The sequence below is a fragment of the Homo sapiens genome, chromosome 8 (assembly GCF_000001405.40).
Source record: "Homo sapiens chromosome 8, GRCh38.p14 Primary Assembly".
Lineage (NCBI taxonomy): Eukaryota > Metazoa > Chordata > Mammalia > Primates > Hominidae > Homo > Homo sapiens.
In genome coordinates this window covers 80,482,463-80,496,616 of record NC_000008.11, presented here as the reverse complement: position 1 = coordinate 80,496,616, position 14,154 = coordinate 80,482,463, and the positions used below count along the sequence as shown (strand labels likewise).

At 43.6% G+C, this 14,154-nt stretch overlaps 1 protein-coding gene and 1 long non-coding RNA gene across 4 annotated transcripts in view, besides 8 other annotated features; one reads left to right on the top strand and one right to left on the bottom strand.

Annotated features, from left to right (window-relative positions):
* The window catches only part of ZBTB10 (zinc finger and BTB domain containing 10), a 40,673-nt gene extending 29,649 nt beyond the window's left edge, over positions 1–11,024 (bottom strand). For 2 of the 3 annotated variants that reach the window (NM_001105539.3, NM_023929.5), the window contains exon 1: positions 8,835–10,391. In NM_001105539.3, coding sequence (NP_001099009.1) covers positions 8,835–9,806 — 972 coding nt within the window. In that variant the 5' untranslated portion in view covers positions 9,807–10,391. Of the gene's footprint in view, positions 1–8,834; positions 10,392–10,737 lie in introns of those variants that run through there. The other variant, NM_001277145.2, reaches the window with a different exon arrangement.
* Positions 9,525–9,604: a silencer, noted in NCBI's record as "silent region_19324". NCBI's record gives its function as "represses an Ori minimal core promoter by ATAC-STARR-seq in GM12878 lymphoblastoid cells {active_cell/tissue: GM12878}" and the evidence as "EXISTENCE:reporter gene assay evidence [ECO:0000049][PMID:35858748]".
* Positions 9,684–10,254: an enhancer, noted in NCBI's record as "H3K27ac hESC enhancer chr8:81398598-81399168 (GRCh37/hg19 assembly coordinates)". NCBI's record gives its function as "activates a minimal SCP1, AML or CMV promoter by ChIP-STARR-seq in naive H9 embryonic stem cells {active_cell/tissue: H9 hESC(naive)}" and the evidence as "EXISTENCE:reporter gene assay evidence [ECO:0000049][PMID:30033119]".
* Positions 9,775–9,984: a silencer, noted in NCBI's record as "silent region_19323". NCBI's record gives its function as "represses an Ori minimal core promoter by ATAC-STARR-seq in GM12878 lymphoblastoid cells {active_cell/tissue: GM12878}" and the evidence as "EXISTENCE:reporter gene assay evidence [ECO:0000049][PMID:35858748]".
* Positions 10,255–10,825: an enhancer, noted in NCBI's record as "H3K27ac hESC enhancer chr8:81398027-81398597 (GRCh37/hg19 assembly coordinates)". NCBI's record gives its function as "activates a minimal SCP1, AML or CMV promoter by ChIP-STARR-seq in primed H9 embryonic stem cells {active_cell/tissue: H9 hESC(primed)}" and the evidence as "EXISTENCE:reporter gene assay evidence [ECO:0000049][PMID:30033119]".
* Positions 10,255–10,834: a biological region, named in NCBI's record as "H3K27ac hESC enhancer GRCh37_chr8:81398027-81398597".
* Positions 10,445–10,494: a silencer, noted in NCBI's record as "silent region_19322". NCBI's record gives its function as "represses an Ori minimal core promoter by ATAC-STARR-seq in GM12878 lymphoblastoid cells {active_cell/tissue: GM12878}" and the evidence as "EXISTENCE:reporter gene assay evidence [ECO:0000049][PMID:35858748]".
* Positions 10,675–10,834: an enhancer, noted in NCBI's record as "active region_27569". NCBI's record gives its function as "activates an Ori minimal core promoter by ATAC-STARR-seq in GM12878 lymphoblastoid cells {active_cell/tissue: GM12878}" and the evidence as "EXISTENCE:reporter gene assay evidence [ECO:0000049][PMID:35858748]".
* Positions 10,855–10,914: an enhancer, noted in NCBI's record as "active region_27568". NCBI's record gives its function as "activates an Ori minimal core promoter by ATAC-STARR-seq in GM12878 lymphoblastoid cells {active_cell/tissue: GM12878}" and the evidence as "EXISTENCE:reporter gene assay evidence [ECO:0000049][PMID:35858748]".
* A 39-nt stretch (positions 11,025–11,063) lies between the features above and the next one.
* LOC105375921 (uncharacterized) lies at positions 11,064–12,371 on the top strand. The gene is made up of 2 exons (XR_001745976.1): positions 11,064–11,159; positions 12,248–12,371. It is a non-coding gene; the product is annotated as an uncharacterized LOC105375921 (long non-coding RNA).
* Positions 12,372–14,154: the final 1,783 nt, after the last annotated feature.

Here is a 14,154-nt window from a genome sequence, read left to right as displayed (position 1 = left end):
TTTTTATAACTAAGACAAAAGCCTATCCACCAAAATATCTGCCCATTCTACTTTGACACAAACTGTACAAATTAAACACCATTCAACCACTATTTTTTTTTCTCATTACTATGGTACAAGAACAAGAACATTAATGTCCCTTGTTTTTATAACCAACAACAGCAATTTCTTGTTCACCACTGATTAAAGCACTATTCCATATGTTTGCAGCAGCTATTAAATATGCCCTTCAAAAAAAAAAAAAAAAGAAACCACATAAATAAATATGACCTTCAAAAAAAATGAATCATTTCCAAGAGTATGTGTACTCTCTAAGGAGATCATTATTAGAGGATTTGGGTTAAAGAGCTAAATAAGCACAAAGCACTAAAATAAACTGCCAATATCATTTGCTAAACTCAATAAATTAATAAATTCTTAGTGCCAGAGACAAAATCTCAAAATAGGTCCCTAATAACTCCAGGTATCTTTGCCTCTTTGGTTCCTTCTTTAACGTTCTATGTCCACTTTTAGTATACTGATAACATCAGATATCACTGATAAGTTAAAAAAAATTACTATTTCCACAACTGGTCTTTTCAAATGTAGTGACCTTTTCTAACCTCTCTCCCAAAAAGGAAAACACAATTAGCTCAGACATTAGTCTAAACTGGCTAAACAAGGAGATTTTAAAGAAACAGACATTCAGAGCTAAATATGAAATCTTGAATTTTTTTATTTGTAAAGATGCCATTTAGTAAAACTTTAGTCTGGATGAGACCTCAATATCAAGTCTTCCAAAATTTAGAAAATATAGGTAAGTGTCCAGTTAGTTAAAATCCTTATAACCTATTATCTAGATGTTCAATATTTCCAGAACATAGGCTACAAAATAGTAAATATTTTACTCAAAGGAAAATGCTTGAAAAGTCCTAACTTTACATATTTATTTAATAAACATTAAATGAATACCTACTTTGGCCAGGGTCTACACTAGGAAGCAAAATGATTCAGTTGCTAATTTGAAGTTACTGTTAGTGGGTAAGACTCTTAAGGTGTTATAAGAGCAGAAAGCATGTGTATCTAATCCAGTTTTTTGTTTTTAAAGTGTGGGGATGCTTTTTCGAAGAAACAAGACCTGAGCAGAGCTTTAAAGGATCCAAGAGTGGGATGGGTGGATGAGCACTTCAAGTAAATGCGACGGCATTTAAAAAAAAAAAAAACAACAAAACAAAAACCCAGCATTTTAAAAAAACATAAGATGGTCTATAGCATCCTCAAAAGTTAAGATTTGTAAAAGAACTTCAATGTGATTTTCTAAAAAGCCCTACGGAATGCAAATATGCACTTGGGCACATTTCAGAGGTAAATGTCCATCCATTTTGACAAGAGCGCCATGTAATCTCAGCACTTTGGAAGGCGACAGGATGGCTGGTAGCCAGGAGTTCAAGACCAGCCCAGTCAACATAGAGAAACCCTATCTCCTTAAAAAAAAAAAAAAAGAGAGAGAGAGATTTGAATCCCCTTCTCCCTCCCAAATATTAGAACCATTGCTATAGGCACCTTACAGAGTTTTCAGAAGCAGTGATATAATCGAAATAGCAAAGAGGAGAGATGCCTATGGCAGCAAGGTGGAGATTTATTATCAGGGAATGAAGACTGCAGATACTGTGATCAGTTGGAAAGCTATTTTTCCTTTTTTTTTTTTTTTTTTTGAGACAGTGTCACTCTGTCACCCAGGCTGGAGTGCAGTGGTTAGATCATGGCTTATTGTACCCTCAACCTCCTGGGTTCAAGGGATCCTCCTGTCTCAGTCTCCCAAGTAGCTGGGACTATAAGATGTGTGCCACCACGCCCAGTTATTTTATTTTTTTAAATTTTTGTAGAGATAAGAGTCTCCCTGTGTTGCCCAGGCTTGTCTCAAACTCCTGGGCTCAAGCAATCCTCCTGCTTTGGCCTCCCAGAGTGCTAAGTTTACAGGTGTGAGCCATGTACCCTCTGGAAAGCTACTGTTAATAGGGCAACATACATGCCAGAAAAAAAAGACCTTAATTAGGGAAGATAGGTGTCAATGAGGTGTGAAGCAGAGCCTAGAAAAATAGTCTAAAAATCATCAGAACTTGCATGATAAAACAGATGTAAAGGGTGGAGGGAGAGAATCATAGGGTCATCAGCATTCCAGCTTGGGGCCTAAACAACGCCACCAACTTGTAGAGAATACAAGACCATCACCCAGTCTCCTACACTTTTGCGGGGGTAGAGGAAGAGAGGCTAACTTCAGTTACAAGTAATAGAAAGTCAAACAGCACACCTGTAGTCAATCCGTTAACAATAGGAAAATGTTATTCAGTTAAAGAAACAAGCAATTAGTATTTACTACCCTACTCAATTACAGCCCTTTTCCAATAACTGAATTAGCAGAAAAGACATTTCCAACACAAACATTTAAGTGTAAACTAAAAGCATTGAAAACATAAAAATATTACTCTGCAGCAACCCACTGGAATATACTGAAAGAACAAAAACAGTAATTTCTATTTCCAAATTTTAGAACAAATTCATTTTATAGAAGGAAGACAAACAAGGCCATAGCAAGTTTTGCCAAATACATGCTAGTGGCAATGACAAATCATAACAGTTGGTAGAGAAAAAGACAAGAAGGTCTCTTTTGCAGTTTTCTGATCACCTCTATATCTCTGAGTGATGGCATCCTCTTTGGTAGCTTAAGTACTATCCCCAGAAATTCTAATCCTGTGAGTGTTAGGGAGCAGACAGACGATGGTTATTCAGGTTATTTTTTATTTTTTATTTTTGAGACGAAGTTTCGCTCTTGTTGTCCAAGCACAAGGGCGCGATCTCGGCTCACCACAACCTCTGCCTTCTGCGTTGAAGCGATTCTCCTGCCTCAGCCTCCCGAGTAGCTGGGATTACAGGCATGCGCCACCACGCCCGGCTCGGTTTTTTTTTTTTGTTTTGTTTTTAAATTAGAGACGGGGTTTCTCCATGTTGGTCAGGTTGGTCTCGAACTCCCGACCTCAGATGATCCATCCCCCTCGGCCTCCCGAAGTGCTGGGATTACAGGCCTGAGCCACCGCGCCCGGCCTATTCAGGTTATTATAACATCCTGCCAACCAGTTCTCTCCTCAAACTCTAAACCCACATACACACTACGCAGGTGCCTCTAGATTGAAACACATACACATTTGATAATGATTCTCCCCTGCTTAAAACTGCTATTGTTGCCCATTTGTTAAGACAATAAAATTTAATGTTTTCAGCATGACAAGAGATCCTCCATGACCTCCAGTCTATCTATTCAAACTTGATTTTTCATCCTGCACAGCAACCAAACTCTCCCTTCTCTAAGATACCATTCTTCACTTTCCTCAGGCTGTGTGTGTGTGTGTGTGTGTGTGTGTGTGTGTGTGTGCGCGCGCGCGCGCGTTTTGAGGCACAGTCTTGCTTGTCGCCCCAGTTGGAGTGCAGTGGGGTGCCTGCTAGGTTCAAGTGATTCTCCTGCCTCAGCCTCCCAAGTAGCTGGGATTACAGGCACCTGCCACCACGCCTGGCTTATTTTTGTATTTTCAGTAGAGACGGGGTTTCACCATGTTGGCCAGGCTGGTCTCGAAGTCCTGACCTCAAGTGATCCACCCACCTCGGCCTCCCAAAGTGCTGGGATTACAGGCATGAACCACTCACTGCGCCTGGCTCCTCCTTAGGCTGTTTCTAATTGCACTGCCTAAATGCCCTCCCCATCCTGGTCAACACCTATTAATTAAATGCAATTAAAATTCAAGAATCAGTTGTACAAGCTTCTTCCAACCTTTGCAGGTAGAACTGATCACTCCCTTAAGAATCTTCAGGCCGGGTGCGTGACTCACGCCTGTAATCCCAGCACTCTCGGAGGCCGAGGTGGGCAGATCACGAGATCAGGAGATAGAGACTATCCTGGCCAACATACTGAAACCCCGTCTCTACTAGAAATACAAAAATTAGCCTAGCATGGTGGCATGTGCCTGTAGTCCCAGCTAATCAGGAGGTTGAGGCAGAAGAATCACTTGAACCCAGGAGGCGGAGGTTGCAGTGAGCCCAGATCACACCACTGCACTCCAGCCTGGGTGACAAGTGAGACCCCATCTCAAAAAAAAAAAAATTCTTCAATGTACCCTGATTATATACTGCTACCATGTTATCTGTGTCTTTTTTCGGTCATGTCTGTCTCTCCTTACTAAACTACAAGTTCCTTGAGGGCAGAGAGAATGAATGTTAACAAAACATACAGATTTTTATCTCCAGTGCTTTGCCAACCTAATACAGCTAAATTTAAGATGGAGAAGGAAGCTAATCCTAGGTACACAATAAGGTATACAGTCAGACACTGCTAACAAGTTTGAAAAGCACAAGGGCTATGAACTAGCTGTTACTGAATAAAACACAAAGAATAAATTATAAATAATGTAAAATATATAAATAAGAAACAACGGAATTTAATGGGCTACAGGCTCAACTCTAATCGATTTTTCCTCAGTGAAAGGTCTTTCAGACTTTCTTCCTAAAGTGTTAAAAACCAACCAAGTAACCAACCAACCAACCTTCCGCCCTTATTTCTGCCATAAACAAATTAGGCTGATAGATCTGCCTTACATTCTTTTGTTTGCTCAGCTACTGACATCAATATATTCCAACTGGAAATTTCAATCAGATCACTGGTCTGAATTCATTACTTAGTTTCTGTAAAGGTTAACTAAATTTACAACAATAATACATTTGGATGCATGTTTCTCCCAGGAAGAGTTGACAGGATGTGTGATTTAGGCTATGAAAATTTCACAATTAGGTAGAAAGTGGTCTAAACCAAGAATAACTGGTAATCACTGTTATTAAGGAATTTTAAAGTCTTCTGGGCCAAATGGTCAGATACTGAATGAGCTAATCATTAAACCTGACTCTGACGATGTAGTCAATTGTTACTCAAAATTAAACTATTAATTGTCCCTCACATCCTTATAAATACAGGGACACCTCGGAAATAGAAGGCTCAAAACACAGACTCAGAAAGCATGTTTTAAAAGACTTTCCCATGAACAGTCCACAATAACCAAGGTCCAATTAACAGAAGGATTAACTTTTTGGTAACTACCAAGGGATTAACAAAAAGATACTTTTCTTACTTAGAGGAAAGTAACCTTTCATGACATACAGTTATGCATCACTTAACGAGAGGGATATGATCTGAGAGATGCATCGATTTTGTCACTGTGCCTTAGCGTACACAAACCTAGATGGTATAACCTACTACACACCTAGGCTATATGGTTGGGCCTATTGCTCCCAGACTACAAATCTGTACACTATGTTACTGTAAGGAATACTTTAGGCAACTGTAACACAATAGTATTTGTGTATCTAATCTATCTAAACATGAAAAAGGTACAGTAAAAATATGGCACACCTTATAGGGCACTCACCATGAACAGAGCTGGCATACCTGGAAGCTGCTCTGGGTGAGTCAGTGAGTGGTGACTGAATGAAAGGCCTAGGACATTACCATACACTGCTGTAGATTTTATGAGCACCGTACACTTAGGCTACACTAAGTACAGACAGGGTCTCACCATGTTGGTCAGGCTGGTCTCGAACTCCTGACCTCAAGTGATTCACCCACCTCGGCCCCGCAAAGTGCTGGGATTACAAAACAAAGTACGCTACAACTTTACGCTATCACCAGGCGATAGTAATTTTTCAGCTCCGCTATAATCTTATGGGACCATTATCATAAATGCAGTCCATCCTTGAGAACGTCATGCAGTACATGACTGTGTTAAGATGTGGCCAAATTCCTCTCAGAAACGGGACTCTTTGAGAAATAATTGGGAAAATAGGAGTTTAGTACTCCTAGACTCAAAGTGATTTCTTGCCTAAAGAATTCTAAAACTCTCATTTCCATGTTTTTAAGACAAGATATTAAGAGTGTCTTTGTGAAGCTGAGAAAAACTGCATGTATGAGAAATAGGCTCAGAATGTTCAAAGAACCTGATGGCCACAAAGTCTCTGAAGGTATAAAAAGGAGAACTGATTGGTGATCAAAATGAGTAATAACGGCCAGGCTCAGTGGCTCACACCTGTAATCCCAGCATTTTGGGGAGGTCAAGGTGGGAGAATTGCTTGAGCCCAAAAGGTTGAGACCAGCCTGGGCAACATAGCGAGACTCCCGTTTCAACAAAAAACTTAAAAATTAGCCAGGAATGGTGGCGCGCACCTGTAGTTCTAGCTACTCGGGAGGATGCCTGAGCCCAGGAGGCTGCAGTGAGCCTTTATCTCACCACTGCACTCCAGCCTGGGCAATAGAGTCACTGTCTCAAAAAAACAAAACAAAAAGGTAATAATGATAATAAATAACGGCACTAAGTGGTTTTATGCTGGCACATATACTTTGCATACATAACGAAACTAGAAGTTAACTAATTTGCCTGCCTAAAAAGTAGAGATTTAAGAGCAAAGTCCTCTGACCTTAAGCCCAAGTAGGCGCTTACATTACGTGTTGTGTTATACTGCCTCCTATAGGTAATTGGAGACTGAAGAAAAACGAAAAACAAAATGATTGCACTCTGCCCAAAAGAGATCAGGAACCTGTTACTCATGTTACTCATGTTAAGACAAACAGGTATTTATATAGGTGGTACCTGGGGGGTTGATAACAAGATATCCCCTCAAGATTAGTTATAATGAAAGTAATAAATGATTAAGATCAATTCAAAGTGAAAACACCCAAAATCCAATCAAGGAGACCAATATATAACCTTAGGACACACAGGACTTACTAAAACTGTAGCCCTTAATATATGTATATTGTATAGAATGTCCCAAAGAAAGGAGATGGCCTGCAGATTACATTGATGGGGGAATTTAAAGGAGTGATGAGGAAGAGAGTCGTAGTTCGGGTCAAGTTTAGAAAGGTTTTTCCTAGGAATTCCAAGACGCAGATACATACCCAGAGGAGAAGAATACACTCAAGCTGAGGCTACCTTAAGGTTATCCAATTAATGCCCCTTCTTCTGATTTCAGGTTCACTAAAGGAGCTAATTATAATTTGCATTCCCATTCAGATTTGCCTACAGGGAGAGACTATGCTGATAAAGAGGAATTGGTCCACAGCCGATTAAGAAAATTCATCCCATTTAAAATTTTCTAAGTAACCAACATAGCCCTATTTGGAAAATTAAACTTTCATTTTCACAAGTCCCTTGCAACTCCATCATCTTACTACATAACTTCAGGAATGTTACTTAACCCTTTAAGGCTTTAGATTCCTCTTCTGTAAAATGGGAACAAAAAATAAATACTTTGCAGAATAAATGTGTTTGGCACACGGAAAACCAGGAGCTGTTAGTTCCATTTCACTCTATTGCCCAAGCTCACAAAGCTAGTTAATTGCAGAAAGCTGAGATCTGAACCCAGATTTACTCCAAATCCATTCTTTTTCCATTACGACATTCCTTACAGGCTCTAGTCTCAGTTGGGTCACCCCAGACTCTTAGGACTATTTACTTAACCTTTCTCGGCCTTGTATCTTTAAATGACCTTCCTTCTAGGGCTTAGGCAACTAAAATGTGTGCAAAACAACAACAAAAACCCTACTACATTGTCCACTGGGGCGGGGGCGGGGGATCACCCTGTGCTTTAAAGTTAAAGCCCTAACTTCTGAGAAACATGGGTGCTGTGTCTGTGGGGTTACTGGTGCGCCTAATTAACCCCAGGGTAAGTGTGCTGAACGGCAGAATCATTCCAATAAACAGAATACTAAGAGCTAACTTTATAAAATCAACGACTGGCTAACCAATACGAAAGAATGAATTCCATCCACCACCACAGGTTGCCTTAAAGTCAAAAAGGAGGACTGATCAACATCTGTTTGGCTTGAACACAGATTATCAAAATAGTAAGGCTTACTATCTTTAGACTGGAAATGTTAAAACAAGGACTAAGAACTAAAATACAGCTTACTTGTTTTGTAAGCACTTTCACGGTGTTTGGTAAATAAATTCCCTACCAATCCAAATCCACTACTTGATACAAATAACTACACATTAAACATTTCTAATGCTAAGCTTAAAGTACTTATTGGAAACTGCATTTAAAAATCTTTCTGAAAAGGAACAGTACAAAAAGAAATCTCAGCACAAAAATCTGAGTAAAAGTAAACAAGTAAAAACTACAATAATTTACCAAAACCAAGCCGTAGTAAGAAAGTTCAACAGAGATTAATTTAGTAAAATTATTCACAAGAGCAAGGAATTCCAAATAGCATTCTCTACATTTACATACTGCTCTCATACTTGACATTATTTTGATTTCATATAAAGAATTTTTTCGGCTGGACGTTTTCCTGAAAGGGGTAGCCTTAAAGGTAAACTGTTTAATCCATTCTTCAAAGAGTTGCCCGATTTGACTTCGACCAGCACACTAAACGTCTGTGAGCATAGACCAGCTTCTCTAAAATCACAGCTAATAAAATTTTTTTACCGCAAAGTCAGCCTTTTAGGTTAAAACCTTCAACCTCACTTTCTTTTTGATTCAATCTGATAAGAAATGAGTCATAAAAAAGAAAATCCAGCGCCACGACAATTGTCATTCCATCCCCTTCCCCCCACAACACATACAGAACTTTTATAAAACTTGTTCCCAGGCTTTCTAAACCCCCACGCCTAAGCTTCCCGCACCTCTCAACTGGAACGATGTCTTCACCCAGGAAAATGGTTTTGAGGTTTTTTTTCGGGGGTGGGTGGGGGTGAAGGGAGTGCTGATAAACCTTTCCCTAAAAGATCTCAAAAAAGTAGGAGCAGGATATACTGTACCTGGGCGTTGGCTTCGTGGAGTTTGTGCTCGGTAGAGACGTGGTGCCTCAGGAGGAGGGTTTTCTTGTAGTTGCGGGTCCCTCGCGAAAGCTCATCATGCCCCACTGGGGGAAGGTCCACGCTTCCCCCATCTGCAGGGGTCTTTTGGCACCAGCCGCAAGACATAAGACCAGTATCCTTGGAATAGCGCAGCCAGGGAAAGTCCTTGAGCCAGGAGGTCTGGAAGGAGCATTGGAGCTTCTGCATTAGAGACTTGGGCCGCGCGAGCGGGAAGTGCTGGACAGTCTCTCCTTCGCCAGCTCCCACACCGCTGCCCTCCACTTCGTCCCCGCCATCGCCGCCCGACCGCCTGCTGCTGCTGCAGCTGCCGCCTTCCGCCCCGCTGCCGTCGCCCAGGCTCGCCCCCTCCTCCTCGTCCTCGGTGCTGTCGCTCAGGGACGCGCCGTCCTGCATCAACTCCTTCCCCTCCAGCGCGTCCAGCTCCAGATCCACAGTCGCCGGCCCTCGCCCATTGAAATGCCTCAAGGGCCACACCGAGGTCTCGGGGCGGCCGCGGCTACTGCCATTGTTGCCGAGACCCCCGCCGCCGCCGCCTCGGAAGGCCAGAGTCCGACGGTTCCTTTCCGCTAGCAGGGGGCCCCCCGCGCCACCGCCAAGCGAGGTGGGGCCGCCCGCGTCTTGGGGGAGCAGCAACTCCTTGGCTTCCTCGGCGGCGCCGGCGGCCGGCCCGGCGGAGGCCTCCAGGTCTTGGGGCTCCAGGCCCTCCAATTCCACTTCCTCGTCGGCCCCCCGCCCATTAGGCGGCTGAAGCGCGGGCGGCGCTGGCGGCGGGGGCTGTCTCGGCTGGGGCTGCGGAGGCCAAGCTGAGGCCTCCCCGCCAGCGTTATTGTTCGTGGAGCCGCCGCCGCTAGCGGTGACCAACCCGCCTCCTCGGAACGCCAGCGTCCTGCGGTTCATTTCACTGAACGACATGGCGCGCGCCGCCGCCGCCGCCGCCCGGTGCCCCGGCTCGCGCACGGCCTCGGGCCGCGTCCCGCGCGCTCCCCGCGGCTCCCCCTCTGTCTCGCCCCCGCCCCCGGCGTTCCGGTCTCGCGGGGCTCGGCCTCGCCCTCTCGCCCGGCAGCCCGGCTCGCGCTCGCTCCCGGGTCTGCTGCACGCGTCCGCTGCCGCTGCCGCTGCCGGGCCGACGCCTCCGACCGCTCTCTCGTCCTCCACCCCCGCCCCGCCGCGCTCCGGGCAGCGTCCCGCGCGGAGAAGGGGGCGGGCGGCGGAGAGGTGAGGAGCGAGCCTGCAGCGAGCGAGGCCTTCGAAGTTGAGCAGCGGAGTGCGGGGAGACCCTCCGCTGCCCCCTCTTTAAAGCCGCGCGCGCACACACCGATCCTCCACACAGATATCCTTCCTCCGCGCGCCGAGGAGTCCCGACGCCGCCGCCGGCTTCGCAGGCGCTGAGGGTGAGAGGCACGCTAAACTGCTCGGCTCCGCCACATAACGAAGCGACAATAAAGCCGGCGGAGCGTTTCCGTCCGACCAGGCCCTGGCGGAGGTCGAATGGCAAATGAACAACGGACCGTGCGCCCACAATGCACCGGGGTAGCAGTAACCGCTGGAGGGGGAAAGGGTGGGGGCCGGGCTGGGGGAGGGGGGCTGGGCTTGGGGCTGGGCTGGGGTGGGGTGGGGGCGCCAGGGGACCGGGAAAGGGGCTGGGCTGCGCCTCCGGCCTGGGGGCGGGGGTGCGGCCGCGGGGAAGGAAGTCGGCCGAGGGGTTGGGGACAAAAGGCCGGGCGGCGGGCTGGGGGTCTCAGGGAGGGGGCGGGCGTGTGCGGCCGGGGCCGGGCTACGCGGAGGACAAACAGCTGGCGAGTGTCAGGGTCTGGCCGCCTCCCCGCTGCCCACACGCACCTACCCGCGCCCGGGACGCGCATTTTCCTTCTCTCGCCACGAGTTCACCTGGGACTTTGCAAATAACTGTGCGGTGGGAGCTGCGCTCCAGCCTTGTCATTTGCTGAGGGTGGGTGGCGGTGCCCAAGGAAGTGAACTTATTTTGTTCCTTCACAAAGACTGGACCAGGCGGTGCCTTTCACGCGAAGAGGTTACGACCACGGACACAACCTCCTTTGATGCATTGTGCGAGGCAGCACCTCGGGCCCCGGACAGTAGTCATTTCACAGAAAATGCACCGCCCCGAGTGTCTTATTGCTGTGATGAAATGGAAATTTAAATAAAAGGTCGAACACGTGCGTTCACTGGGAAGTATTGACATGGGTGTTACATCACCAGCAGCCAATCAGATAACTCCAGTCGTGTTTATACTTCTACAACCACCTTGTGAGTATTACAGTATGTCATAACGTTATAAATATTAGGCAGGGTTTTCCCCAGGAGCGGGGAGGAGTCTGCTTCTACGGACGTTGTGAGCGGCTCCGAAGATTGTGTGTTTAAAGTCAACAATTCATTTTTAAGACTTTTTTCGAACTGTTTACATTACATGGACTTTAGATTGATTCTGACAGAATGAACTGGAAATGAAATCCCACAGTTATGATCGTAGTAGAGTTTTTTTTTCCAATTTAGGGCCCTTATACTCCTTTTAAAAATTTTTAATATGCTAAATTTAGCAAATACTAAAGTGTTAAGACTCATCTGACAATGTGAGAATTTAAGCCTATTTCAGGTTAAGAAAAAAAAGATGTTTTCAAGTTATGGAGGGGCTTTTTACTCTTAAGCGACATATGTATTAGAAGTTGAATCACGAACTGATAAAATGCTCCAGATAATTGTTGACTAAAAAAAATACGGCAGGACAAATTTTTTACATTAATACATATGTGCAGAAAATGAGAAATATACATGAACTCTTTACAGTTATAGATTAATGGGAAGGGTTATGTTAAAGGCTTGAACCTCCTAAATAATGTATTAATGTAAATAAAGTTATATATGTTTTATGAAGAACAGGTGTTACAATTTTTAGACCTAGTTTTATGATTCTTATTCTCTTCAAAAGTTCTTTTTCTATTTCAAAACTAAGAGCAATATGTAAAGCTTTGTATAATATGGAATATGGTATGTATTTCAAGGTTACTTTAAAAAGCAAGCTTTGGCTGGTCCCAAGGTAGTGAATTGTCTCAATTGGTTATTCACAGTTGGTTGCCCGTTGTACCACTCTTTCCCCACTTCCACTTGACTAGTCTTTTAAAAATAAATAAATATTTAAATAAACAAGTCTTCTCAAACATTATAAAAGACCGTTTTTCTTAATATTTTTTAAATGGACTAACATGAATCCACATCCAGACTCATATTAATTGTATACATTTATTCAAAGCAACATTCACTTCATTCATTGTAATTTTTAGTACCTGTTGATGAGCAGTGTTGTATATCAAACAAAAAACATTGGTTTTATCTTGTAGATTACATGTAATTTTAATGTAAAGAATGACAGTACTACCCTGCCACAAAAGGATTTTGGCTTTGAGTTATTTTTCCGGTAATAAACATATTGTCACCTGGCCACCAGTGACCAAGAGCTTGAAATTCTGATATAGTTCTTCAGGTGGGTACAGTTGTAGGGTGTTTTTGTTTGTTTGTTTGTTTGTTTTGTCCTGCTTTGTTTTAGTTGCTGGGAAGCTTAAGACAGTGGAGTCTGATCTTGACCTAATTCGTACCCTTAAGAAATAAGAGAACTCTGCCAAGTGAGGCTGTATAATATGTGCCACATATGGAAGAATGCCATAATAATACTTGTGCTCTGTTTTTAATGCGTGTTTTTTTTTCATTCTAGGCATTTTGAAAATAAATACATTTATTATATGTTAATCACCACAGCCTCCACCCCCATAAAAAGAGGGAAGAGTTACTGAAGTTAATTACTTATCTAGGATCAAGGTGATGGGAAATGAAAATGGACTTAAAAATTTTTATTTTGCTGGGCACGGTGGCTCACGCCTGTAATCCCAGCACTTTGGGGGCCGAGACGGGCGGATCATGAGGTCTGGAGTTCAAGACCAGCCTGACCAACATGGTGAAACCCCGTCTCTACTAAAAATTCAAAAAATTAGCCAGGTGTGGTGGCGCTCGCCTATAATCCCAGCTACTCAGGAGGCTGAGGTAGAAGAATCACTTGAACCAGAGAGGCGGAGGTTGCAGTGAGCTGAGATCATGCCATTGCACTCCAGCCTGGGCGACAGAGCGAGATTCCATCTGAAAAAAAAAAAAATTTTATTTCAGCTCTAAAGCTTGTTTTCATTCAAAAACTGTTAAATTCAAATATTTGCTACTTCTTATCTCGTATCCTACTACATAGTAGGCACTATATAAATTTATGTATTATTTTTGCTAATAGTGCCAGAATCAACCAAAAACGTTTAAATCCATAATTGTGTCAGACCTGCCTTTTTCTCAGACATATATCTTACCTTATGTTTTATAAAATCCTCATTGTCTTCTATCTGAAGTTATGTTTAAACATGGACTAATTAGGAATGAATGACACTAGAGTCAAGTGGTACAAATAAATGACTTAAATTCTAGGACCACTGAACTAACAGTATCAGGGTGATGTGTGTGTGTTTGTGTGTGATTGAGTATGCATGCTTGTGTATTTATATATTTATCATTATATATATGTGTGTGTGTGTGTGTGTGTGTGTGTGTGTGTGTGTATGTATATGTATTCAGTTTTCTTCCTCTGAGCCCTGAAAGAAGGTGGAAATTAGAAACAAAGCTCAAGGGGATACTAATCACAAATGTCTCAGAATACTCTGTAAGAAGGGAACTTTGAGTAACAGAAGGGGATCTCCTACACTGTAAATGGAGTTTTTAGGAATTCCCCAAGCCCTTCCAGTCTCCTACTAGCAAGCAGGGATGTGTTCTCCCCTCTAACCCCTATACTTATTGTTAGGGTACTACCATATTCAAGGGAATTCCCCCTTATGCTTACCAGGGGAACCCCTTAAGAATGGGGCATCCCCAACCAATTTGTCCCCTAATTTCACCTTACCCCACGTAAAACTCCTGTAGATTACACTTGTTACTGGCTCACCATATCTCTGTGATGGGGCTTACCTTCTATACCTGGCCCAGCTGATCTTTGAGGGTCAAACTTGACTGTCGTTCACTGCCTTGGTAGAGGTACTTTGCCTCTTTAGGCTCTAGGGACAGTAGCCTTTCTGTCTGTGGGATTGACATGAGTTATCCACCAAAATGAAGCACATGAGAACAGGAACTGTCTTATACCTCCATCCCACCCCCACCAGTACATAGTAGGCAAGTAGTAAGTGTTTGTTGAATAATTTATTATATCTTCCCTTGCAGTCAA